The 27,216-nt window shown below is 48.4% G+C and overlaps 1 protein-coding gene across 2 annotated transcripts in view, besides 3 other annotated features; it reads left to right on the plus strand.

The window, feature by feature from the left end:
• The window catches only part of TGM4 (transglutaminase 4), a 40,383-nt gene that overhangs the window by 4,752 nt on the left and 8,415 nt on the right, over positions 1-27,216 (plus strand). The window contains exons 2-10 of one of the 2 annotated variants that reach the window (XM_011534042.3): positions 2,722-2,856; positions 5,966-6,139; positions 8,330-8,436; positions 11,244-11,373; positions 14,218-14,336; positions 17,350-17,457; positions 22,165-22,339; positions 22,434-22,572; positions 24,525-24,628. In XM_011534042.3, coding sequence (XP_011532344.1) covers positions 2,722-2,856; positions 5,966-6,139; positions 8,330-8,436; positions 11,244-11,373; positions 14,218-14,336; positions 17,350-17,457; positions 22,165-22,339; positions 22,434-22,572; positions 24,525-24,628 — 1,191 coding nt within the window. The remainder of the gene's footprint in view (positions 1-2,721; positions 2,857-5,965; positions 6,140-8,329; positions 8,437-11,243; positions 11,374-14,217; positions 14,337-17,349; positions 17,458-22,164; positions 22,340-22,433; positions 22,573-24,524; positions 24,629-27,216) is intronic. The other variant, NM_003241.4, reaches the window with a different exon arrangement.
• Positions 4,535-5,212: an enhancer, noted in NCBI's record as "H3K27ac-H3K4me1 hESC enhancer chr3:44925386-44926063 (GRCh37/hg19 assembly coordinates)". NCBI's record gives its function as "activates a minimal SCP1, AML or CMV promoter by ChIP-STARR-seq in primed H9 embryonic stem cells {active_cell/tissue: H9 hESC(primed)}" and the evidence as "EXISTENCE:reporter gene assay evidence [ECO:0000049][PMID:30033119]".
• Positions 6,238-6,532: an enhancer, noted in NCBI's record as "tiled region #3821; HepG2 Activating DNase matched - State 20:ReprD". NCBI's record gives its function as "activates a minimal TATA promoter and a strong SV40 promoter by Sharpr-MPRA in HepG2 cells {active_cell/tissue: HepG2}" and the evidence as "EXISTENCE:reporter gene assay evidence [ECO:0000049][PMID:27701403]".
• Positions 19,189-19,730: an enhancer, noted in NCBI's record as "H3K4me1 hESC enhancer chr3:44940040-44940581 (GRCh37/hg19 assembly coordinates)". NCBI's record gives its function as "activates a minimal SCP1, AML or CMV promoter by ChIP-STARR-seq in primed H9 embryonic stem cells {active_cell/tissue: H9 hESC(primed)}" and the evidence as "EXISTENCE:reporter gene assay evidence [ECO:0000049][PMID:30033119]".

Raw genomic sequence — 27,216 nt, forward strand, 5'->3', positions numbered from 1 at the left:
GCCATGGCGTGATCTCGGCTCACTGCAACCTCTGCCTCCCCGGTTCAAGCAATTCTTCTGCCTCAGCCTCTCGAGTAGCTGGGATTACAGGCATGTGCCACCAAGCCTGGCTAATTTTTTTTTTTTTTTTTGAGACAGAGTCTCACTCTGTCGCCCAGGCTGGAGTGCAGTGGCGCAATCTCGGCTCACTGCAAGCTCTGCCTCCCAGGTTCACGCCATTCTCCCGACTCAGCCTCCCAAGTAGCTGGGACTACAGGCGCCTGCCACCACATCCGGCTAATTTTGATTTTGTATTTTTAGTAGAGACGGGGTTTCACCGTGTTGGTCAGGCTGGTCTCGAACTCCTGACCTCAGGTGATCTGCCCACTTCTGCCTCCCAAAGTGCTGGGATTACAGGCATGAGCCACTGTGCCCGGCCCTATATTTTTTAATATTTTATTTTATTTATTATTTTTTGAAATAAGGTCTCACCCTGTCACCCAGGCTGTAGTGTAGTGGTGTGAACATGGCTCACTGCAGCCTTGACCTCCCAGGCCCAAGAGATACTCTTGCCTCAGCCTCCCAAGTAGCTGAGACTGCATGTGCACATCACCATTCTCAGTTAATTAAATAATTTTTTTTTAAAGACAGGGTTTCTCTATGTTGCCCAGGCTGATCTTGAACTCCTGGGCTCAAGGGATCCCCCTGCCTCAGCCTCCCAAAGTGTTGGGATCATAGGCGTGAGCCACTGTGCCTGGTCCATAGTCTATATACGTTATTTTATAGTCTGTATATTATCTGATTTCTTGGACGAATACTTGTGTGGTTTCTGCTGAAATAGTGTATTTTGTGTTTTAAAATTTGGGGCTATAAGCTCACCTTGAGTGTGACTTTATCTGTGGGAATGCCATAAAACTTTGGTGGAGAATGAATTACTCCAAAGAAGATTGGCGTTTATCCCCTAAACCAGTGACAACTGTGACTAGGAGCCAGTTTCTGCCTATGAGCCAAGGACAACTGTTTATTTTACTTTCTCAGTATGGGGGAATCCCAGACCTCTACAGAAAGAGGTGATGTTTGAAATTTTTCATAACCGGTATGCATTCTGCAGGGGCTGTGCTCCCACAAGCACTCTGGGAAGGAGACTCTCCAGGAGTGCCTGCTGGCAGGTGGCAGTAGACTCAGGCAGCAATATGGACACTGGGGGGTGGGGGAATGTGATTTCTTGTGGCAAAAAGTACAAAGAAAAATCAGCAAAGGGAAAAGCCTGCTGGGGTGAGGTCCTGAGGGAGCTAGGCAGGTCTTCCAAGAGTCCTCTCCAGTGTCACACAGGATGTGTTTAATTCCTTTAGCAATTAGTTGTGACATGTTTTTTCTCTGTGTATCTCATTCATTCAGCAATCATAACTTTATTTTCTTTTTGTTTTTAGTAATCTCTTATTCTCACCCAGACCTTTCATCTGGAATGGTTGTTTGCAAGAGGGACAAAAGCATTTTTACAGAAAAATATTTTAATACAACCTAACCAGAATAACACATCATATTCTGGAATTGGTCAGGACAAAATCCTGAATTTTCAAAAATTTTCAAAATGGTAGTTCGGGTGTGGTGGCTCGTGTCTGTAATTCCAACATTTTTGGAGGCTGAGGCAGGAGGATCGCTTGAATTCAGGAGTTTGAGACCAGCCTGGGCAACATAGTAAGACTTCATCACCACTATGAAGTGCACTATGGTGCACACCTGTAGTCCCAGCTACTCTGGAGGCTGAAGTGGGAGGATCCCTTGAGCTCAGGAGGTTGTGGCTGCAGTGAGCCGTGTTCACACCACGGCACTCCAGCCTGGGTGACAGAGCAAGGCCCTGTATTAAAAAAAAAAAAATCAAAGTAATCTTAAATAACCTCTCACTATTTTTTGTCCTGATCATTTATTCATTGAGCAGCCTAGAAAAGGTCAGTCCCTTTCTGGGGAAAGCTGTATTTAATAATCAAACTGCCTTACCAGAAGGAAGGAGAAGGAAATTGTATTAGTTTATTTTCTGTTGCTTATAAAAGAATACCTAAAACTCAGGTAATTTATAAAGAAAAGAAATTCATTTATTACAGTTATGGAGGCTGAGACTCCAAGGTCGAGGAGCTGCATCTGGTGAGGGCCTTCTTCCTAGCGAGGACTCCCTGAGGAGTCCCAAGGTGGTGCTGGGCATCACATGGTAAGCTCAGGTCTTCCTCTTCTTATAAAGTCACCAAGATCCTCTTAAGTGCGTTTTTTCTTGTCATTTCAAGAGTCCCACTTGACCCACTCAAAAATATACATACAGACTGGAAAATCATAAGCTTCTAAGGCTGACAATTTCACAAGAGCTCATTAGCAACTAATGCTAATTTTAGTTTAAAAGCAACTTTGCTTTTTAAAACTCCAAAAGTATATCGCCATCTGGAGATTGCTTGTCTTTTATGTTGTCTCCTTTTTTCCAGAGGCTTCATAGGCAAAAGTTATAGCAAAAATTATCCATTGCAGAGACTTTTGTTTTTTAATACTCAAATAATTTAAACTCCAACCCACACATTGGTGGCAAGAAACAAGGACATTGTATTCCACTGACACTTTTTCTTTGCAGGTTTCCCTGGTCATCTTGCATTTATGACACTGCAAGCATTAAACTGGTATATCAATTTTGACCATCTATCCAAGTGCAATAGCTACAAAATAAAAATACAAACGCTTTTTTTTTTTTTTTTTTTTTAGAGTTGAGGTCTCACTTTGTTGCCCAGGCTGGCGTGTTGTGGCTATTCACAGCTGCAATCATAGCTCACTGCAGCCTCAAACTCCTGGGCTCAAGTGATTCTCCCACCTCAGTCTCCCGAGTAACCGGGATTACAGGTATGTGACTCCAAAGGCATTTTTTTAAAGACAGCCCCAGTGTGGCTTCCTGTAGTTCCAGGATTCCTCCAGCCTCCCAGATCTGCCTTAAGCAGTGCTCAGGTCACAGAGCAGTGCCCAGGAGAGGGTGAGGGAGGAGGCTCCAGTACTGGCCATCTGTTATGTGCTGTATGTTGGTTTCTTAGGGCATTCAAATGACCACAAATGAGGCTGCTTAAAACAACAGCAATTTATTATTCTCTCGTTCTGGAAGATAGACATCCAAAATCAAAATGTCCGCAGGGTCCTGCTCTTGCAGAAGCCTCCAGTGGAGAATCTTCCCTTGTCTTTCTTGGTTTCTGGTGGCTCCAGGTGTTCTGTGGCTTGCAGCTGTGTAACTCCAGTCTCTGCCTCCATCTTCACATGACCCTCCCCTTGCCTTTCCATGTCTCTTATAAGGACACTTATTCTTGGATTTAGGTCCTACCTGGATAATCCAGGATAATATAATCACAAGATCCTTAATCACACCTGAAAATCCCCTATTTCTATAAGGTCACATTCATAGGCTCCAGGTGGAGATATCTTCTGTGGGACCACCATTCAACCCACTATATGCCCATCTGCCTAACATTAATGATGGCCTGCATTTTGTCGAGTGCCTACTGTGTGCCAGGCATGTGCCAGGCACTCAATGTGCACACTAGCCACCAAGGGAGGGACTATGTTTACCATTCCAGGGAGATAAGGTCTTAAGAAGCTTCCACAGAGATGACTGCATTTAGGATTTGGATTTCTTAACTGCTCTTTCCTGCTTCCTGGTACCAAAACCTATACCTTTACCCCTTGGGAACCCAGGTCACCCACCTGCCCAGTCCATGGGGGAGCAGGAATAAGTCAGAACATGGGAGGGACTGTTAAAGCCCTTTTCCAGCTGTGATTGCTTTGCGATTGGCTCTGGGTCCCACAGCAGGAGCTCTGCTGTCCAGGGAAATGAAGAAGCCTTTCAGGATTGCAGCTCCTGACAGCATGCTATGGTTTGAATATGTCTCCCCCTAAAATTCAGGGGTTGCCAATGTGGTGATACTAAGAGGTGGGGCCTTTAAGAGTTGATTAGGTGATAAGGGCTTCTTCCCTGTGAATGAGATGAGGTGCCCCTCTAAAGGGACCTGAAGGAGGGAGTTGGTCCTCTCTCGCCCTCTGCCTTCTGCTATGTTACAATGCAGCAAGAGGCCCTCACCAGATGCTAGTGCCTTGATCTTGGACTTCCCAGCCTCCAGAACTGTGAGAAATAAATTTCTATTCTTTCTAAATGACCCAGTCTCAGGTATTCCATAACAGTGGCACAAATGGGCTAAGATGCTCCAGCTAGCCATCGGCCCACCCCAAGGTTTCAGCCCAAGAAGGGGAAGCACCTGGGAAGGTAGGTCTGTCTGCCAGGTGGGCCTCCCTGCTGGAGGCAGCAGGTTCCCAGGCCCTGTGCGCAGTGTGAAGGGAAGGCCACTTGCTGGGACTTGCCTTCCTGGAGAACACTTGTCCAGACCCCAATCCCAAAGCCACTCCAGCAAGAATGAGCTGTGCTGTCTCCAAACACATCACTGGCCGCATCCCCAAGGTAGGCATCTGATGTGGGCGTGACCACTCCACCTATTTTGTAGTCATGAAAGCCCAGTTTCCATGGCTGGCCTCCTTGATCTCTGCAGAGGATGGGTTTCCTCTGTGGGTGAGCCCTCAGGAGCAGAGGAAGGTCCCTGCATCTCACCTCACTTTACCTCACAGGCCACAGCGGGGCTTCCTAATCTAGGGGTTCTCCATATGTGCCTCCCTGGGCCAGCAGCACAGCGTCATCAAGGAAGCTGCTGGAGAGGCAAATTCTCAGCCACACCCCAGATGTGCTGAATCAGAAACTCAGGGTGGGTCTGGCAGTCTGTGTTTTACCATGCCCTCTGCACACTCGAATTGCCTGGAAAGCTTTGAAAACATAGAGGCTCAGCCCCACTCAGAACAATTGTATCAGAATCGCTGGGGGAGAACATAAGTAGTTTTACAACCCCCAGGTGGTTTCAGCATGCAGCCAAAACACATTTCCCTTCATGACTCATGAGCCTGGGAATGGTTTGAATTTTAGATAAAGGGGAGGGGTTTGGGTCTCAAGCTGAGGTAATACGAAATGTCATTATAACAGACACATGGTGAGAAATACATGTGCTACAGAAAAGGGTGTATTATGCATGTGGAGATTATTTCTTTTACTGAATGTACTTTTCACTTTAGCATTGAAGAAAAAAATCCCCTGTTTTTTTTGGGGGGGATGGAGTCTCACTCTGTCACCCATTCTGGAGTGCAGTGGCTTGATCTCGGCTCCTGATCTCAGGTGATGCGCCGCCCCCACAGCCTCCCAAAGTGCTGGGATTAGAGGCGTGAACCACTGCACCTGGCCTTAAAAATCCCATTTATAATGCAAGTAGTCTTGGCCTCAGATCATGGGAGCTCCTTGGTGCTTCCTCCTCAATTTGGATAAAAAGGCTTCACCCCAGCCACTTTGCACCCCACCCTTCTCTTCAGGATGTGAACTCTCACCTCAGGATGGTGTCTGACTTGAAGCTGATGGGAGTCTGGGCTGAACAGGAAGGGGAGCAATCCCAGGGCTCATCTGTTCCCTCCTCAGTTTGCCCGCTCCCCTCTTTCCCTTCAGCTTTTGTGTTGATTGACGGAGAACACCCTGGCACCAGGTTTGTTCCTGAGGCCATGTCTGCAGAGAGGGGGAGTTGGGGTGGGAAACTTGCCTAACAGCCACTCACAGACTCACCCTGTTTGAAACTCAGTTTCCTCACCTGTAAGATGGGCGTGCACTTACCTATTTTGCGGGGTTACATGACTAAGCACTTGAGTCCACTGCTCTCAGCTCATCCCCATGTAATCCCACAAGGTAGGTATGTGCACACCAGTCTTACAGGTGAAGAAACTGAGTCTCAGACAGATTCATAACCAGCTGGAGGTGGAGCAGGGATGCCCGACTCTAAAGCCCAGCTCCACCTCAATGCACTCTCAGATTTTGAACCCAGAAAGAGGTGATCAGGGAATAAACATTCTCTGTGCTCTCTTTCCACATGTGCTGCGTTGCTGACAGAGCTGCAAGTTCTCCACATTGACTTCTTGAATCAGGACAACGCCGTTTCTCACCACACATGGGAGTTCCAAACGAGCAGTCCTGTGTTCCGGCGAGGACAGGTGTTTCACCTGCGGCTGGTGCTGAACCAGCCCCTACAATCCTACCACCAACTGAAACTGGAATTCAGCACAGGTGAAGCCTCGGGGCCCTACTCATGGGGCTTTGGGGAGGGATCACAAGTGTCTGTGGATGCTGGAGTGGCCCTTTCTGGTCAGTCTGAGCCAGGAGTGCCTTACCCTCCCTGATCCCCAGTTTCTCCATCTGTAATGTGGGAATAATAGCGGGTGTGAAGAGAATAGAATGGGAAGCTCAGTCAGGACCTGGCACATAGTGAGGCTCTGATTCCTTGGCTAAGCAGGGGAGGGGCCAGAGCAGAGAGAGGAGGTGACTCAGCGGGCATCTGCCGTGGTGGGGTCTGGAACATTTTGTAGAGATGAATCATAGGACTGAGGTATGCTGATGCCATAGCGGGGTGGGCTGGAGGCAAGCCAATAATAATGATTAAAATATCATATTTTGGTTGCAAAGATAATAGGAAATGGCTCATGCATTTGTTATAGCTAGGTAAATATATGTGCATAAGTACAACTAGGGGAAGAGAGAAAATGTATTAGATTTTGTGACAGGTGGTGGGATAATGGAGGAGGGTCTTACTTCTTTAATGTTGTTTTTAAGTTTTAAAAATAGATCAAGTAAGCTGGGCATGGCAGCTCATGCCTGTAATCCCAGCATTTTGGGAGGCCGAGGCAGGCAGATCACCTGAGGTCAGGAGTTCGAGATCAACCTGGCCAACATGGTGAAACCCTGTCTCTACTAAAAATACAAAAATTAGCTGGGCATAGTGGCAGGTGCCTGTAATCCCAGCTATTCGGGAGGCTGAGGTAGAATTGCTTGAACCTGGGAGGTGGAGGTTGCAGGGAGGCAAGATAGTGTCATTGCACTTCATCCTGGCGACAAGAGTGAAACTCCGTCTCAAAAAAAAATTAGATCAGGTAGATCTACTTTACAAGATGGCATACAATAGCACTTCCTGGGAGAGCGCTCCTTTTGCTCCTTCTCTGAGTGAACAACAGGCTTAGGGTCTCCTCCAACGTGCTGGTGGAGATCAGTCAGAACAGCCTCCATTCCCTTCATCCAAGATGAAATAAGCACCTACTGTGTGCCATGCCATGAGCTACCTGCTCAACGCATGGACTGGGACCGTGCTGTTGCTGACTTCAGTGACTTTATAGTACCCCTGGGTCCATGTGCATTCCCTCACCCAAAATTTCCTGAGTACTTGCCACATGCCAGGTGTTGCACTGAGCACTCTCCATGTATGACATAGTGTGAATCACTCACTCAACAAATATTTGTTGAGTACCTACTCTGTGCCAGGGAACCCAGAGGTAAAGCAGTTCCTGCCTCCTAGACTTGACTGTACTAGCAGAGAGAGCAGTAAACAAACAAAAGTGCAAGATAATTTCAGACAGGGCCAGATATGATGAAGAAACCAAAAACAAGAGGCTCCTCCAGCAAGACAGAAAGCAGCAGGTCAGGGCGGGGCTGACTCTGTCGGTGCTGACTCTGTCAGGGTTGGAAGGGCTTCCCTGGGAAGTGACCCTGCTGAGACCCACGTCCCACCATGTGAAGAGCTGAGAGCAGGGTGTTCCCAGCCATGAGCACGGCAAGTGCCAGGGCCCTGAGGAGACAACACTTGTGTCACATGCTCTTTGTCATGAGCTAACTCTCTGGGGACCAGAAACCCAGTCATGACAGGGAGGAAAGTGGGGAGCTGGGGAGAAGCCTCACTGAGGGCCACCTGTGGGCTATGGAAAGAGGTTGGATTTGATTCTAGTAGTCCCTGGAGCTCATGACATAAACTGACCGACCTTTCAAACAAGATCCTGCAACAGCTTGCAGGGTAGGCGGTGGCATCTGCCTCCTCCAGACGAGGAGTGAAGGTTAAGCAGTTCCCCTGCATTGCGTGGAGTGAACAAGCATGTTGGTCTGTGGCACGAGCCAGCAGGGTTAAACAAATGGTAACTCGAATGAGCATGTGACAGAGGCAGGAGCTCTAGGGAGACCTGGATCTGATGGGTAAAAAGGGAGGACGTGGAGAGGAGGCAGGAAGCTCATCTAAATTGAACAGAAAACTAAAACTGGACATGTGGGGCAGAAGGAGGCCCCTGCAGAATTAGAGGGGCTGGAGCCAGGGGACAAATGAGCCTGGAAAGGAGGGGTGGGGGCTCCATGAGTGGGCAGTAGGTGGGCCCGAACCAGAGGAGATTGTCTTGGGGGTGGCCCATGGCTGGGCCAATGTTTTCCTTTGGGTGTCTCCAGGGCCGAATCCTAGCATCGCCAAACACACCCTGGTGGTGCTCGACCCGAGGACGCCCTCAGACCACTACAACTGGCAGGCAACCCTTCAAAATGAGTCTGGCAAAGAGGTGAGCACCCACTGGGCTGGCGGGTGGGCTGGCTGGCTTCTGGCGGAATGCTCCTAATGTGAGCAGCCCCTATCCCCTTCCTCACCTGTCAGCTGGTAACATGGTTTAAAGCCATCCACAGCACAGCATGATAGAGGGGCCATGGCTCCAAATGTCTGTTTCCCCACTCAGCCTCCTCCAAGCACACAGTATCGCTGTGGCCAAACCTCCTACATGTCACCCTTCCCCTTTCCATTTCAAAGGGAACAATGTTCACTGGAGGACATGAGCGGAGAGAAGTACATAAAAATAACCCATGGTTCCACCAACTAAGTTACCCATCCTTCCTTCCAGGCTTTTTCTGTGTCATGGTCAAATACAAAATGGGGGTCCATCTCATGCTTCACTCACTTGACAAGACCTAATGGATGTTTTCCACAGTGGCTTCTGCCCGAGTGTGTGGCTTACGGTGGCTGGTTTTCCACCCTTTTTGGGAGCACTGGGTGTTCACAGTTGTCTCCAATCTTCCAGTGTTGTAAAGAACCATGTCTCGGCCAGATCTTTGGACTGGTTTATGGATATTTCCTTGGGCTAAATTCCTAGAAGTTTAATGCTAAGCTAATGCCATGATTTAAAAATGGCAACTACATTGGGTTTTTGTGGAAGCAGAATCTGCTGGTGGAAATGAGATGAATGGGCCAGCTGCTGCTGGAATCCTCGCTAGTGCCCCGGCCTCTTCCTTCCTCTCCCTCCCATCCAGATCCCAGACTCTCAACCCCAATTTTGCATCTGAGTGTTTTTCAGGGTATCATGAAAATCTCTCCTGAGGTGGGCATGGGTTGTGGGCAGGAGCTGCATTTCTTTACTCAAAAAGTGTTATTTTTAATTTTTTTTAATTGACATATAACACACATAAAGGACACAAATCTTAATGGTTTGCACAATGAATTTTTACATATGAATACAGCTGTGGGACCACCAGCCAGATCAAGGTGGAGGCCATTTCCTGCACCCTGGAAGGCTGGTTCTCCTGAGCTCCATTGTAATGAACAGTGAGGGCACAACCTCCTCCCTCTTGCCACAAGAGGGGTATGGGGAGTTAGCCTTGTGGATTCTGGAGTTGTAGCACAGTGAGTTTGATCCCAGCTCCACCTCTTGGGCTACCTCTGTGAACCTCAGTTTCCCCACCAGCAAAATAATGACAATTAAACATTTATATTTATTAGCTCATTTAATTTTCACAATGCTCCCACAAAGAAGGGGGCCTGTTATCATTCCAAACTTTTAAACAAGAAAACTGAGGCACAGGAGAGGTTAAGTAATCAGCCAAGGTCATACAGCCAGTAAGAGGTAGAGCTGGCCAGCCTGGGCAACACAGGGCTACCCCATCTCTACTAAAAAAAAAAAAAAAAAAAAAAAAAAAAAAAAAATTAGCCAGGAGTGATGGTGGGCACGTGTAGTTCCAGCTAGTTGGGAGGCTTAGGTGGGAGAATCACTTGACCCCAGGAGTTCAATGCTGCAATGGCACTCAAGGCTACTTCTGCCATCGCCAGCACCAGCTTCTCTCCAGAGGGTGCTGGACATCTTGCAGCCTCAAATGTGGCACATCCTATGTCAACCCTTTTCCACACCTGCCCTTTCTCCTGGGGCCTTCCTGAAGTCAAAAGCCATCAGATGCCCATGCTAGAAGCCAGTTGCACTCCAGCCTGGGTGAGAGAGAAGGACTCTGTCTCAAAAAAAAGGGGGAAGAGTAGAGCTGGGATTTGAACTGAGAGCCTATTGCTCCTATGAGTTATAATAATAAGCATCTCATGGGAGGACCTTGGACCACAAATGGAAGTGTATTGTGACAAGGATGAGAATTATTATTCTTGGTACCATTGTGGCTACAGCAATATTGATGTATCCTAATTATCTCTCCAGCTATTATTTATCCTAAAAGGCTGGATAGAGGCCTGGACGCCCTTGGACCAATGGCCTTCTGGGACTCTGGCTGCCTGTATTCCAAGAGAAAGGTGTTTTTTTTTGCTCCAAAAGACAGCTGACATTTAACCTTTCCCCTGAAGTTCCAGACACTGGGCTAGGCACCTGTATTAGTCCATTCTTGTACTACTCTACTACTCTAAAGAATACCTGAGACTGGGTAATTTATAAAGGAAAGAAGTTTAATTGACTCACAGTTCCACATGGCTGGGGACACCTCAGGAAACTTACAATCATGGCAGAAGAGGAAGTAGGCACATTTTACATGGTAGCAGGTGAGAGAGAGCGAGAAAGAGCAGGGGAAACTGCCTTATAAAACCATCAGAGCTCATGAGCACTCACTGACTATCATGAGAACAGCATGGGGGAAACTGCCCCCATGATTCAATCACCTCCCACCAGGTCCCTCACTCAACATGTGGGGATTATGGGGATTACAATACGAGACGAGATTCGAGTGGGGACACAGAGCCAGCCATGTCAGCACCTTATGCGTACTTTATCCACAGCATCTTCCCAACAACCTGGAGATGGTATCACCTCCAGGCTGTGGTGAAGCAAGTGGTGAAGGGAGTGAATCTCAGGGAGGTGAAAATGCCCAGTCTCTCCAGGGCCCTTGCAAGACGTGCCAAAACTTCATGCTGTATGGAGCTGCTTTTCTGTCTCATGCATCCTGCCCTTGCAGGGGCGCTCCTGGCTGTCCAGGGTCCTGACCATTCCTTGTCTCCAGGCTGGTTCCAGATGGGATGAGTTGTTAGGACTGACGGATTCTTCTGGGAAGCATTTGTAAGATTTGGGATCTGGCCAGAGGGGGAGATGTCCACCTTATCTTATGGTTTGCTCAGGTCACAGTGGCTGTCACCAGTTCCCCCAATGCCATCCTGGGCAAGTACCAACTAAACGTGAAAACTGGAAACCACATCCTTAAGTCTGAAGAAAACATCCTATACCTTCTCTTCAACCCATGGTGTAAAGGTACTGTGAATCTCAGGTCTGCTGGGGAATGGCAGGTGACCCCGGCAAAACCTGCTATGTGCAATGCATAGTCTATGAGCTTTTGTTTGCTCTCAAGGTACTTGCAAACTAGTTTAAGGGATGTGACCCAGGAACAGATCACAGACACCAATGGAGCGTTTTCTTTGTGACCAGGCCCCTTAGAATGGAGGTCCTTATTCCCTGTTTCCACTTCTCCCCAGTGCCTCGCCCTGCCCCAGCTGGCTTCTGCCTCCACCACTGTACAGAGGCTGCCTTCGTGGGGGTGGGGAGGGGCCACCAAGGACTTCTTCCTTGCCAGCTCCAGGTCAGGGCCTGAATTGTGGTTGGTTCCTCCCTTCTGCTCCCTTAGTTCTGTTCTCTTCTCTCCACTTCCTCATGTACCCACCTCATTTCTTCCTGTGGCTACACTGGAGCCTTTATGTAAATGGTGCTTGAGGCTACTTCTGCCATTACCAGCACTGGCTTCTCTCCAGAGGGTGCTGGACATCTTCTTGCAGCCTCAAATGCGGCACATTCTATGTCAACCCTTTCCACACCTGCCCTCTCTCCTGGGGCCTTCTTGAAGTCAAAAGCCATCAGGTACCCATGCTAGAAGCCAAGGAGCTCTTTTTTTTTAACTTGTATTTGGAAATGATTTTGAGCTCACAGAAAAGTGGCAAAAATGATGTAATGAACAACCTATACCCTTTATCATCCAGGCTCACCTGTTGTTAACATTTTGCTCCATTTGCTTAATCATTTTCCCTCCCTCCCTCCTCTACACACACACACACACACACACACACACAAGCTTTTTATTTTTGAACCATTTGAGAGTAAGTTACATATAAGTTGGTTCTTTACAACCCCTAAACCCTTCAATGTGTATTCCCTAAGAACAGGGATATTCTCTCATATAACCACAGTACAGTTATCAACTTCAGTAAATTAAGTGTTAGCAGCCAGGCGTGGTGGCTCACGCCTGTAATCACAGCACTTTGGGAGGCCGAGGTGGGCGCATCACGAGGTTGGGAGATCGAGACCATCCTGGCTAACACGGTGAAACCCCATCTCTACTAAAAATACAAAAAAATTAGCCGGGCATGGTGGCGGGCGCCTATATTCTCAGCTACTAGGGAGGCTGAGACAGGAGAATGGCGTGAACCCGGGAGGCAGAACTTGCAGTGAGCCGAGATTGCACCACTGCACTCCAGCTCTGTCTCAAAAAAGGAAAAAAAAAAATAGGCCAGGCGCGGTGGCTCATGCCTGTAATCCCAGCACTTTGGGAGGCCAAGGCAGGCGGAACACAGGGTCAGGAGATCAAGACCATCCTGGATAACATGGTGAAACCCTGTTTCTACTAAAAATACAAAAAATTAGCTGGGCCTGGTGGCATGCACCTGTAATCCCAGCTACTTGGGAGGCTGAGGCAGGAGAATCGCTTGAACCTGGGAGGTGGAGGTTGTAGTGAGCTGAGATCACGCCACTGCACTCCAGCCTGGGTGACAGAGCGAGACTCTGTCTCAAAAATAAATAAATAAATAAATAAAAATAAATAATTAAAAAAATAAGTGTTAGCATAACACTTTCATCTACTATCTATATTCCAGTTTGGTCACTTTTTTTTTAATTTTTTTTTTTTTTTTTGAGACGGAGTTTCACTCTTGTCGCCCAGGCTGGAGTGCAATGGCGCAATGGTGCGATCTTGGCTCGCTGCAGCCTCTGCCTCCTGGGTTCAAGCAATTCTTCTGCCTCAGCCTCCCAAGTAGCTGGGATTACAGGCACATGCCACCACACCCAGCTAATTTTTGTATTTTTAGTAGAGACAGGGTTTCGCCATGTTGGTCAGGCTGGTCTCGAACTCCTGACCTCAGGTGATCTACCTGGCTTGGCCTCCCAAAGTGCTGGGATTATAGGCATGAGGCACCGCACCCAGCCGGTCACTTGATTTTATCATGTACTTTATAGCATTGTTTTCCCTCCAGTACAGGATCCAATCTAGAGTCACATTTTGCATGTAGTTATGTTTACCTCCTTTAATCTGGAACAATTTCTTTATCTTTCTTTGTCTTTTTTGACATATTTTTGAGGACTAGAAGTCCCCTTTTTTAACAGATCATTCATCATTTGGGTCTGTCTGATGATTCATCATCTTTAGATTCAGGTTACGCAGTCCTTGCTGGATATTATGTAAACGACATGTCCTTCTTGGAAAATCATATCTGGAGGCACTGCCTGCCCCTCATTGGGAATGTTAAATGTGATCATTTGGTCAAGGTGTTGTCCAGTTTTTCTGCTATATAATTACTATCTTTTTCTTTTTAACGAGTAGTCTATGTGGACACATTTTAAGACCATCCAAACATCCTGATCCTTATTAAAATTCTCCACCCCTAGATTTAGCATCCACTGATGGTTCTTGCTTCAACCATTCTTCACTGTGATGGTTGCACAGTGATTTTCCAAGGCCAGCTCTCCACCATGTTTACCTGCTAGCCCCTGGCATTTCCTGTAGGCAGAGTCCTCCCTTCACTCCCATCTACCTCTCTCTTCCATCTGTATGGACTCATGGACTCTCTCTTTCTTTTCAGTGGTTTATGATTCATCCTTTTCTTAACTCATGCTTAAATTGCTCCAGATTTTCCCAGGGGAAGTCCCCTACAGCTGGCTCGGGAAGTTCTTTTGGATACTTTCCCTCCCGCTTACCTCCCTCCCCCAACATTGGGTGTTCCAAGCCCCTCACAAAGACCTTGAATCTCCCCCAGCACAGACAGTCCCCATTGGCAAGCCTGCTCCTGTCCCAGGGCAGAATATAACCTCTGTGGATGTGTGGTCTTGCTTCAGAGGACATGGTTTTCATGCCTGATGAGGACGAGCGCAAAGAGTACATCCTCAATGACACGGGCTGCCATTACGTGGGGGCTGCCAGAAGTATCAAATGCAAACCCTGGAACTTTGGTCAGGTAATGATTTGTCGTCTTGTGGCTGCACCAGGCCCCATCTGCTAGACCACCCTTTTAGCTGGGTAGTAGTCAGTAAAGGTTCTGGAGAAAGGGTTGTGAACCTCGGGTCAAACGCCAGCCTCATACATGTAAAACTTGGCCATAGAGGGGTGACCTGCCTAGGCTGCACAGATGGGGTGGAGTCCTGGGCAGAAGCCCTTCCACAAAGGTCACCCATGGCCTTTCCCATCCACCCCACGGCTCTCTCCCACCCCCCACAGCTCTCTCCTACCCCCCATGGCTCTCTCCCACCCCCCTCGGCTCTCTCCCACCCCCCACGGCTCTCTCCCACCCCCCTTGACTCTCTCCCCACCATGGCTCTCTTCCACCCCCCTTGGCCCTCTCCCACCTCCCATGGCTCTCTTCCACCCCCCACGGCTCTCTCCCAACCCCAACAGCTCTCTCCCCCACCCACCCCCACCACGGCTCTCTCCCATCCCCCATGGCTCTCTCCCACCCCCCATGGCTCTCTCCCACCCCCCATGGCTCTCTCCCACCCCCCATGGCTCTCTTCCACCCCCCATGGCTCTCTCCCAACCCCAACGGCTCTCTCCCCCACCCACCCCCGCCACAGCTCTCTCCCACCCCCCATGGCTATCTCCCATACCCCCCACCCCGCCACGGCTCTCTCCCACCCCCATGGCTCTCTCTCATGCCAAACAGCTCTCTCCCACCCCCTACCTCCCAGTGTATTTACCAAAGAACCAAGCACTGTTACAAGGAAGCACTGTTACAAGGAAGCACTGTTACAATTAGAATGTTGGCCTTGACAAAGAGCTCTAAAGAAGAGGGAGAGTTTTTTAGAGACTTGTGTGGAGGCCTCTGCTGAGTGGAGGGCCAATGCCTTCGTGCAGCCATGAGGCAGAGAAGCTGGGGTGTGAGGATGCCAGACACCAGATGCTTCCCACCTCCCCTCCCCCAAGATTTGACAACAAAAAACTCCTGGGAAATGCCAGGCATTTCACAGCTGCTTGAGTTTCTCCTCCTCCCCCTGGGTCTGGACGCCTAGGACAGGATGGAAGTAGGGACAAGGGAGGAAGGACTCCCAGCTGGCGAGGCTCCCACTGTGTGCTCTGTGCAAGGTGCGCCGAGTGCCCTCTCCACCCTCACTCATTCCTAGAAGGCCCTCAGCATCCTCTCCTCACACATGAGGACCAGAGGGAAATGAAATGGAAGGGAGTAGCTGGCAAGGAGACAGCCAAACGAACCGCAGGAGGGGTAGGGAAGAAGGAATCACCTGAATCCTAGGGAGTTTCCCCTCTTAGAAAATCAAGGGGTGGGCCGGGCACGGTGGCTCACACCTGTAATCCCAGCACTTTGGGAGGCCGAAGCAGGCAGATCATGAGGCCCGGAGATCGAGATCATCCTGGCTAACACAGTGAAACCCCGTCTCTACTAAAAATACAAAACATTAGCCAGGCGTGGTGGCACGTGCCTGTAATCCCAGCTACTTGGGAGGCTGAGGCAGGAGAATCACTTGAACCCGGGAGACGGAGGTTGCAGTGAGCCGAGATGGCGCCACTGTACTCCAGCCTGAGCGACAGAGTGAGACTCCATCTTGAAAAAGAAAAAAAGAAAATCAAGCGGTGATTTTAAGAAGCCCAAAGAGTGACTGGGTATGGAGGCTCACACCTGTAATCTCAGCACTTTGGGAGGCCAAGGTGGGAGGATGGCTTGAGGCCAGGAGTTCAAGGCCAGCCTGGGCAACATAGGGAGACCTGGTCTCTATAAAAAATAAACAAATTAGCTGGGCATGGTGATGCATGCCTATAGTCCCAGGCAGAGCTGTGGGGAGGGGGGACTGCAGTTGGAGAGGGAGGTGGGTGGATCACTTGAGTCCAGAAGGCTAAGGCTTCAGTGAGCAGTGATTGTGCCACTGTACTGTACCCTCTCTCAAAAAAATAAAAAATAAAATAAAAATAAAAAGAATCTCAAAGAATTGTAACCACAAAACTCCCCCAGACTCCTTCTGGAACATAAACATTGTGGTCTATTCCTTTTATTTTGGTAGTTTTTCCCTCAGGTTACAAAAGTAACACATGTACTTCAACTCTGTAAATATACAGATATTTATGGATAATTACAGATTGAATCATCCAGTTTAGATGGTAAATTTTATGAGATATAAATGATATCTTGATAAAGTGGCTTACAGTAAATAGAATTTCAAAAGTAACGTGCTTATCACAAAAGACTTAGGAAACACAGAAATGTGGAAAGAAAATAAAATTATTCATAACCTCCTCCCTCAGTGATAATGACTTAACATTTTAGTGTATTTTATTCTATTATCTATTACTAAGGCTTACATAGTTGTAATGCTATTTGTTCACAATTTTGTAGCCTGTTTCATTTATTCATTTATTTATTTATTTTTATTATTATTATTTTTTTGAGACAGAGTTTTGCTCTTGTTGCCCAGGCTGGAGTGCAATGGCACGATCTTGGCTCACTGCAACCTCCGCCTCCTGAGTTCAAGCGATTCTCCTGACTCAGCTTCCCGAGTAGCTGGGATTACAGGCATGCACCACCACGCCCGGCTAATTTTGTATTTTTAGTAGAGACAGGGTTTCTCCATGTTGGTCAGGCTGGTCTTGAGCATCCGACCTCAGGTGATCCACCTGCCTCGGCCTCCCAAAGTGTTGGGATTACAGGCGTGAGCCACCGCACCCGGCCTGTTTCATTTATTTGACTTGATTACAAAGGAATTTTCCCCATGGTATTAAAAACTTCTTATACTTCCTTTTAGTGGCTGCATGCTAGAGCTCTATAAACTTACTTAACTACTGTCCTGTGGCAGGACATTTAAATGGTTTCTAATTTTCAGTGCTGTGGTGGACTTTTTTATGAGACTGTAGGCAGGGGAGATGGGTTACGCTACAGGGTGGCTGTGACATGCAAATTAGATGGTATGTGTTAAGTTTCTGACACAGGGCAAAGTCTTAACTGCCTCTTTCTTCATTTCCCAAAATAGTTTGAGAAAAATGTCCTGGACTGCTGCATTTCCCTGCTGACTGAGAGCTCCCTCAAGCCCACAGATAGGAGGGACCCCGTGCTGGTGTGCAGGGCCATGTGTGCTATGGTAGGTATGGAAAGCCTGGGCTGATGCTGTCTTGTACTTGCCAATTGCTCAGCCTTTTTCTGTTTTTCCTCATCTAAACTGTAAGCTCTTTGAAGTACACCACTGTGCTATGGCCAATCAATTGTTCAAAACTATTAAGAAATAGACATTGCTGAAATCTGTTCTGAGCGCAGGTTTTCTTTTCTTTTTTTTTTTTTTTTTTTTTGAGACAGAGTCTCATTCTGTCACCCTGGCTGGAGTGCAGTGGCACGATCTTGGCTCACTGCAACCTCCACCCATCCAGGTTTTAAGCAATTCTCTGCCTCAGCCTCCGGAGTAGCTGGGATTACAGGCACATGCCACCACGCCCGGCTAATTTTTTGTATTTTTAGTAGAGACGGGGTTTCACCATCTTGGCCAGGCTGGTCTTGAACTCCTGACCTCGTGATCCACCCGCCTCGGACTCCCAAAGTGCTGGGATTACAGGCGTGGGCCACCGCGCCCGGCTTTCAAGTCAGACCTGAGTCTGAACTCCAGCCCTGCCACTTATGGGCTGACGTTAGGTGTAAATGGCTTCAACTGTCTGAGCCTCAGTTTCCCCCATCTGCAAAATGATATTAATACAGAAGGTCCTCTTTCTACCTGCAAGCTGGGCTCCAGTTGGGTGAGCAAACTGTTGCAGTTCACTTGGGACTTTTCTGGTTTTAGCACTAAGAATACTGTGTTCCAGGAAACCCCTCAGTCTTGGGCAAACAGGATGGTTGGTCACTCTATTCTGCCTGGCCACTTGGAAGTCAGTTTGTTCAGAGTGGCAGTTCTCAAATATTTTGGTTTCAAGACCTCTTTGCACTTTTAAAAATTATTAAGGACCCCAAATAAGTTGTATTTATATGGTTTATATTTACCAATATTTACTGTATTAGAAATTAAAACTGAAAAGGTTAAAACTATTTATTCTAAAAGAATAATTCCATTACATGTTAACATAAATAACGTATTTTTATTTTTAAAAACCTATGTTTTTCGAAGCATAAAATATGTAGTGAGAAGAGTGGCATTGTTTTCCATTTTTGCAAATCTCTTTAATGTCTGGCTTGCTAGAAGTCAGCTGGAATTTCATATCTGCTTCTGCATTCATTGTTTTAGTTGGAATATATGAACATCTGGCCTCACACGGATACGTAGATTTAAAAAGGCAGAGGACGGCCGGGCGTGGTGGCTCAGGCCTGTAATCCCAGCACTTTGGGAGGCCGAGGCAGGCAGATCACGAGGTCAGGAGATCGAGACCATCCTGGCTAACATGGTGAAACCCCATCTCTACTAAAAATACAAAAAATTAGCTGGGTGTGGTGGCACACACCTGTAGTCCCAGCTACTGGGGAGGCTGAGGCAGGAGAATCACTTGAACCCGAGAGGCAGAGGTTGCAGTGAGCCAAGATCGCACCACTGTACTCCAGCCTGGGTGACAGAGCGAGACTCTGTCTCAAAAAAAAAAAAAAAAAAGAAGCGGGGCGGGGGCAGGAATATTCCCATAGCCTTTTCAGATAATGGAAGATACTATACTGAAGCTCTGTAAGTGGCAGTTTCTTAAAGTTGGTTGCAATGTGGAATCTGAAACCACGATTTTTCATCCTTTGTACACTTATGAGAGAATGAGAGTGAAGAAGGCAAATATTACCTTGGGATTATTATGCAAGTAGTTTTGATCACAGAACTTGGAACTCCCAGGGATCTCCCAATGCCAGTGAGGACCACTCTCCAAAGGTCCACTGAGTTCAGCCAACTGGCTGCTCTTGCCATCTGTGGGTGGCAGGCAGACGTATGTTCATCTCCAGGTGAGTCTGTGAGCTGAACTGCTGCGACAGACGGATCTTAAGTAGGGGCTCTTGAAATGCCCTCCTTGCAGAGTGGCTGTGAGCCTGTGTCTGTTGCACGTGGTATGCCTCATAAATGCTGGGGCTCCTGTTCCCCTGCACCTTAGGGGCTGATGGGATTACCGGGGGCCCTCACGCTGACTCTCTGGGGCCCAGGAGTCCACCATGCCTGCTCTTTCCCCTTCACCCCCATGCTGGTATGTTCATTCTCTAGCCCAGGGGCCAGCAGGTGGCCAGGCTGGATGCTGAGAAAGAACAAGTAAAGGAGACCAAGTCATTAGCAGGCAGAACTTGCCATGAGGGGCTCTAGTTCTCAGTGGTGCAGGTGGACTGGCACGTACCTGGCTGCTTCTCCTTTCAAGCTCCATGACTCTGGACAAGATTCTAAACCTCTTTGGGCCTCTGTTATCTCATCTTTTGGGTGATTATGAGGTCTCAATAACACACAACAAGTGCCCAGCCCAGGGTCTGACACGCTTTGGGCCCACGAGTAGCCTATTCCCAGGTCATTCTTATGCGTGGTGGGGTTTGGGAAGCAATGGGCTAAGCCGCTGCTTGTTTCAGTGATGAGGAAACCAGCCGGGGGAGAAGGGGCAGTTCGCCAAAGGCTGCACAGTGAAGTGGTGGTTGAGCCAGCTGTGCTGACTCCTGGTGCAGTGCTCCTTCCTAGTGCCCTGCCAGCCACCTCCTCAGGCTGTGAGGCAAGCATGGGCAATTCAGAACTCCAAGGTGTTCCAGGAGTCACTTCCAAAATTAGGTTACTGCAGATTAGCTTCCACGCTCGGGAGTCTGAGAACCCCAGCCCACTTCAGAGGCCCTCCCCTTTTCCAGGTTCCCTATAAAGGTTGCCCCTTCACCCTTAGAAATTCGTGGCTATCCATGGGCCTCCTGGATCTGTGAATTTCTGACTAGCAGGCAGAGCTTCTGGCAGGGTCGCCTAAAGACGACTCCCACACCAGGCAGGGAACCTCGGCGCAGCAGTGAGTGCGTTCATTATCCATTGCTAAGTAATAAGTTACCCCAAGACACTGTGGCTGAAACAACAAACATCCATTATCTCCCATGTCTGTGGGTCAGGAATCCAGGTGTGGTTTAGCTGAATGTTCTGGCTGAAGATCTCTGGGGGAGGACCTACTTCCAGGCTCACTCACCTAGCTGCGAGCAGCCTCAGGTCAGGGCAGCTCATAGCATGGCAGCCAGCTTCCATCAGAGTGAGCAAATAAGAGAGGGGGTGCCCAGGCTGGAAGCCACAGCCTTTGTCACCTCATTTCAGAAGTGACAGCCATCACTTTTGCTGCATTCTGTTGGTTAGAAGTGAGTCACTGGGTCTAGGAGAGGGGATTACTGGGGACCATCTCGGTGACTGCCTACCATGCCTGGGCACAGAAATGTGCTTTGTTCCGCAGGGGGATAGAGCCTCGTGCATCAGGAGTTTTGAAAGTCCTGATGTCCTTTGGGCTCAGCGTCACTCCCCTTCTTTCCCTATCTCCGCCCTCCCCTACATTGCTCTATAGACGGCTTGTGTCTAGCAGGCGCTGACAGGCTGGGGCCGCTTAATTTCGCAGGAGGACGCAGCAGCCGGACCAGGGCAGTGGCTGGGTGACAGTTAAGATGGGAGGTATTTCCTGCTTTGCCTAGGACCCTTTGCCTGTCTCTCTTTCATCTGTTTTCATTCCGTCTGACCACTCTTGAGTCTGGCGGTGGCCTCTGCTCTCTCTCTGATTTTGATGAATGAAGAGGCTTGTCCAGCCACAGGACCTGAGAGGTCACGGGAGGCCCAGGCCACACCATTGTTTGAGACTTCTTGTAAATTAAAACTGAACAAACTCCCAAACAGGATTCAGAAATTGTAGCATACTATAAGGGTTTTAGTTAAACAAACGGACATCTTTAACATCCTGGGAAACATGAGGCACTGTAACTGTGCTTTTCACAAGGCATGATGAGGTTTGCAAAGGACGTTAGTGTGCAGGCCAGGAGGGGATGGGTGGATGTGGTCAAAGCCAGGCCACCACCAGATCAAAGATTTGTGACTGTGTCACCTTTCATGTTTTCGGAGGGTTCCTCTGCACCTGCCTGTACAACCTTCTTTAGAGATTCCATTAAGTGCTTTCAAAGGTGAACTCACAAGGCTTTGTCCTCTCTCTGGTTTTAATAAGGTGGAAAGGATCGTCTGGCCAGGGCTCCTCAGGGGTTAAGAGAGGTGCAGGCCACTGACAATTTAAAAACGGAAGATGCCAAAACAGGCATAGGCTTAACCCAGGTCATCCTCAAAACAACCTAAAGGGACCGGGCATAGTGATTCACACCTGTAATCCCAGCACTTTGGGAGGTTGAGACAGTTGGATTACTTGAGCTCAGGAGTTTGAAACCAACCTGGCCAACATGGTGAAACCCTGCCTCTACAAAAAACTACAAAAATTAACCAAGTGTGGTGGCGTGCGCCTGTAGTCCCAATTACCTGGGTGGCTGAGGTGGGAGGATCACCTGAGCCCAGGAAGTTGAGGCTGCAGTGAGCCGAGCTCACACCACTGTACTCCAGCCTGGGCTACAGAGCAAGATCCTCTCTCAAAAAACAAACAAAACCAACCTAAAGGTAGGTGTTGTAATGATCATCATTTTACAAGGGAGGAAACTGAGGCATACAGCAGTGAGCATCCTCCCCGGTCACTCAAACAGCTGGCATGCTCCTTGGCCCTTCTGGGCACCCCACCTGTTCTGGAAAGCCCACGTCCTCCAAGTACTCTGAGACATTATGAGGTGTCCACTTTGGGGGCTGGGTGGCCAAGCTGGGCTGGCAGCACCTTGTTCTTCTGAGGGGCGGACACTGACCCCACCCCTACGTGTGTGGCAGATGAGCTTTGAGAAAGGCCAGGGCGTGCTCATTGGGAATTGGACTGGGGACTACGAAGGTGGCACAGCCCCATACAAGTGGACAGGCAGTGCCCCGATCCTGCAGCAGTACTACAACACGAAGCAGGCTGTGTGCTTTGGCCAGTGCTGGGTGTTTGCTGGGATCCTGACTACAGGTAAGTGGCAGATCCAGGGGCTGAGGGGAGAGGTCCCAAGGGAGGGACTCCCAGCCCCCACAGTTGCCAACCACCCCACCCTGGATCATTTCAGTGCTGAGAGCGTTGGGCATCCCAGCACGCAGTGTGACAGGCTTCGATTCAGCTCACGACACAGAAAGGAACCTCACGGTGGACACCTATGTGAATGAGAATGGCGAGAAAATCACCAGTATGACCCACGACTCTGTCTGGTAGGGTTCCTCCTTCTCAACCTGCCCTGTCTCCTTCTCCCAGGAATTTTCTTTTTTCTTTTTAGAAACAGGGTCTCTCGCTAGTTTGCCCAGGCTGGTCTTGAACTGGTGTCAAGCAGTCCTCCTGCCTTAGCCTCCCAGGTAGCTGTGATTCCAGGTGCAAGCCACCATGCGTGGCATCCCAGGAGTTTTTTAGCCCAAGCCCAGTCTCCAGGCCCTCCCAACCCAGAGATTCTGCTGAGCTGTGGGGCCCCTTCAGCCTCCCTCAGAGACTGATTCAAGTTGTAGGCCAGTGCTCACTGTTCCTGAAATTCAATATTTTTCAACATTTGGCCTTGGACAATCTGTGCTGGAATCACCTGGGGGTGATTGTTAAAAAATGCAGATTCTTGGCCAGGCATGGTGGCACATGCCTGTAATCCCAGCACTTTGGGAGGCTGAGGTGGGTGGATCACGAGGTCAGGAGATTGTGACCATCCTGGCCATGGTGAAACCCCATCTCTACTAAAAATACAAAAATTAGCTGGGCATAGTGGCACGTGCCTGTAATCCCAGCTACTTGGTAGGCTGAGGCAGGAGAATCACTTGAACCCGGGAGGCAGAGGTTGCAGTGAGCCGAGATCGCACCACTGCACTCCAGCCTGGTGACAGAGCTAGACTCCCTCTCAAAAAACAAAAACAAAAACAAAAAACAAACAAAAAAAATGCAGATTCCTGTACTGGAGCTTTTGCCTCTACAGGGGAAGGGCCAGGAGTCTGAAGTTCATGTTAGCACTTGGCCCAGGAGATCTGATATATACCACTGTTTGAGAACTTTTGATGTAACTAGTACCCACTGGCCAGCATGAAGCTTATTTCCTTTGTTCTCTGATCCAGAGCACATGGGCCCCTTGCAAGCTAAAATTGACCACAAGATAGAAAAGGGAGAATGAGAAGTTGCAGAGGGAGTAGACGAGGTGGGAAGGTCAGGGCATGATTACAAATTCCCGAGGCATTTCAGTTGAAGTTGGAGCCTTACAGCTTTTATTTAAATACTGCTGAGACGTTCTAGTTCACGTACCAAGATGAGAAAAAACAGAAAGACTTGAAACTTTTGGAAAGGAGGCACTAACCAGTATTATTTGTAGATGATATACAGTTGACCCTTGAACAGCATCGGTTTGAACTGTGCAGGTCCACTCATAGGCAGATTTTTTCAACTGAGTACAGGTGTATTTGTGGGAGGTGAAACCTGCCTATACTGAGATCTGGCTTTTCCTATATACACATTCCACAGGGCCAACTGTAGGACTTGAGTGTGTATGGATTTGGGTATACTCAGGGGTCCTGGAACCAATACCCTGTGGATACCGAGGAATGACTGTTAATTGTCTACCTAGAAAACCAAGAGCACCAACTTAAAAATAGCAAGATTTAATATGAGAATTCAGAGACTGGCCAGTTACAAAGTTGCTGATCAACCAAATCAGAATCCCAGTGAATTGAATACATTCATTGAATGAATGAAATAACAGTTGTAATCTTTTACTAGGCTGTGACTGCACAGCCTAGTGCATTTCACCCATTCATCCAGGAAAAATTTATTAGGTGTCTGTTATGCTTCAAACACTGCAGATGTCAAGACAGATAAGATTTAGTTCTGCTTCGAGTTCACCATCTCTAGTGGTGAAGACTCCCAGGCTCTTTGAAATCCATAGGCAGGGTGACGGTCTCATGAGGTTCCCCCAGCCCTGCCCCCTGCACACAACTCTGTGCCCTGGGAGGCTTTCTGAGAGGCAGGTGGGACTCACCGGTGGCCCCTTCCTTGCCAGTGTTGACAAAGGTTCCCAAACCCCTGAGAACAACCTCAGTGGGTCCCCGGTGATGAAGATGTCTCTGGCAATTTTGGCGTATTTATCTCTAACTAGGTTTGGGGGTGGTCCGGGGTGGGGCCCGTTCCCAATTTGCGGCAGGAATTTCCATGTGTGGACGGATGCCTGGATGAAGCGACCGGATCTGCCCAAGGGCTACGACGGCTGGCAGGCTGTGGACGCAACGCCGCAGGAGCGAAGCCAGGGTGAGTGGGTGGCAGGAAGGCGCTGGGCATCCATGCTGCTCTCCTTACATGGCCCAGGGTTCTGTGGGTCTTGGGTATGCAGCCAAGCAGGTGGGGAAAGTTTTCATAAAAATTTCCCAAAACAAAAAGCATGCTCAGTCCTTCCTGCTATTCCCACTGAGCAGGGGCTTCAGTTTGCTGGCTATTTTTATGAAGATAATGCCAATGACAGTACTGTTAAGAGCAATGAGATGGTGGCACTTAAGGGTTCCCTACTGCATACCATGCGCAGTACCTACATGATCCATTTTACTCACAACTAACCTTTCAAAGTAGGTTGTCATTATCGTCATTTTACAAATGAGGAAACTGAGGCTCAGGGAGGTGAAGTGAGTTGCCTGAGGTCACACAGATCCACAAGGCTGGACCAGGATTCAGCCCAAGTCAGACATAATGGGGATGCTTATCTCAGCTGGTTATGGGTTACCAACTTCTGGGTAAGACAGTGGCCCCTTGTAGCTGGAAGGACCTTGCCGGGGGACAAGGGTGTCTTTGTACAGCTGGGGAAGCAGAGGCATGGGGTTGGTCTGAGGTTACTTGGAAAATCTGTGGAATCAAGTTATCTTTATTTTAAATAGTGAGTCCTAGTACTAAAGACAAAGTCAGCCCAGTAAAGGGAAAATAGATTAGCTCAATAATTCTCAAATTTTAAAAAATTATTTGTTTATTTATTTTGAGACAGAATCTCACTGTTGCCCAGGCTGGAGTGCAGTGGTGTAATCTCGGTTCACTGCAACCTCTGCCTCCCAGGTTCAAGCAATTTTCCTGTCTCAGTCTCCTGAGTAGCTGGGACTACAGGTGCACACCACCATGCCTGGCTAATTTTTACATTTTTAGTAGAGACAGGACTTTGCCATATTGGTCAGGCTGGTCTCAAACTCCTGACCTCACGTGCTCCACCTCCCTTGGCCTCCCAAAGTGTTGGGATTACAGGCATGAGCCACTGTGCCTGGCCTTTATTTATTTATTTATTTAGAGATGGAGTTTCACTCTTGTTACCCAGGCTGGAGTGCAATGGTGCAATCTTGGCTCACTGCAACCTCTGCCTCCCAGGTTAAAGTGATTCTCCTGCCTCAGCCTCCCGAGTAGCTGGGATTACAGGCGCCTGCCACCATGCCTGACTAATTTTTTGTATTTTTAGTAGAGACAGGGTTTCACCCTGCTGGCCAGGCTTGTCTCAACCACCTGACCTCAGGTGATCTGCTTGTCTCGGCCTCCCAAAGTGCCGGGATTACAGGTGTGAACCACCGCACCCAGCCTCAAACTTTTTTTTTTTTGAAAAAAGCAGTCCAACTGCTCAGAAGGAAACTTCGTGTGCCACCTCATAATGTAAAGCAGAACTACTCCAGCTGAAGTGTGCCCAGGGACCAGCCGGCCCCTCCCTGACATCTCTGCCTCACTCCTGCAGCCCCTGAAGTAGATGTCTCTCAAGGTTCTTCTAGGAATAAGTCTTAGTTTGGCTGTGAGCCTCATCCCAAGGATAGCAAATTCATCTGCCCACAGGGCCAGAGAGTGAACAGGGCTGTCTACTTGGGAAGATGGGGACCTAGAGACATGAGCATGCAGATCCCCAAAGGCATTCAGGTTACAATTTAAACATACTTTGCGGGCTCCACCCATCAGTGTGAGACTCCTGATTCCTCCAGCTGCAATGTGAGCCCACATGGCCCTGAAGGCAAAAAAATGCTGTTAAAAGTGAAAACAGCCTCCACATTTCTCCAAAGATAAGGCATTGCCCTTATAATAGGGGGTGAGGGTGGTGGGAGGTGGCCCCCAGAGGTGGGAGGAGCAGGTGATATGCCCACACCCCCGCATACTCTGCAGGAAGATTCTCAGCAGGGCAGTATTGAGGGCTCTTTCCATCCAGGGAGTCTAAGTAGCATTTGCTGAGGTGGGACAGTAGCCATAGCAACCAGGCAGTGAGTAGCGCAGTGCCACTATCTGCCTGAGAGGCAGAGGAAGCCCTGTTCCCTGGCCAGAAAAGGGGCCTTAAAAGCCCACCTAACCTGCTCACCTTATAGATAAGGCCAGAGAGGGAGGGTGGGGATGCCCAGGTTCAGTCAACAAGTTAGGAGAAGAACCAGTATTAGATTAGGAGACCAGTTCTCCTGAGTCCTAGTCCTCCAATACACTGAATTCACAGGTTTGGCTGCCTTAAAGAGGCAAGGGAGAGGAGCCTGTGTGTTGAGGATTAAATAAAAATAGTGGAAGCAGAAAGCCCAATGCCCAGAATACAAGGGTATGTAAAAACCAAAGCTACTACTGAGGAACTATCAGTCAAGAGACTAATTCTCATTAAGTTGTCAATGACTAATAAGGGAACTCTCTATCCCCATGCTAGAAATAAAAAGACAGCTCTTAACAAAAATGAAAAATAAATAAATAAATAAATAGACAGCTCTTAGAATGGAAATGTTCTTATTAGCCCAGATCCATAGCAACAGCTTGCATTTGTTTTAGGCACAGGGCTAAGTACTTTGCCTGGATTATTTAATTTAATCTTCGCAATAGCCTTAGAAGGTAAGTGCTGTTTTTATTCCCAGTTTTCT

Source organism: Homo sapiens, chromosome 3 (genome assembly GCF_000001405.40).
Source record: "Homo sapiens chromosome 3, GRCh38.p14 Primary Assembly".
NCBI lineage: Eukaryota > Metazoa > Chordata > Mammalia > Primates > Hominidae > Homo > Homo sapiens.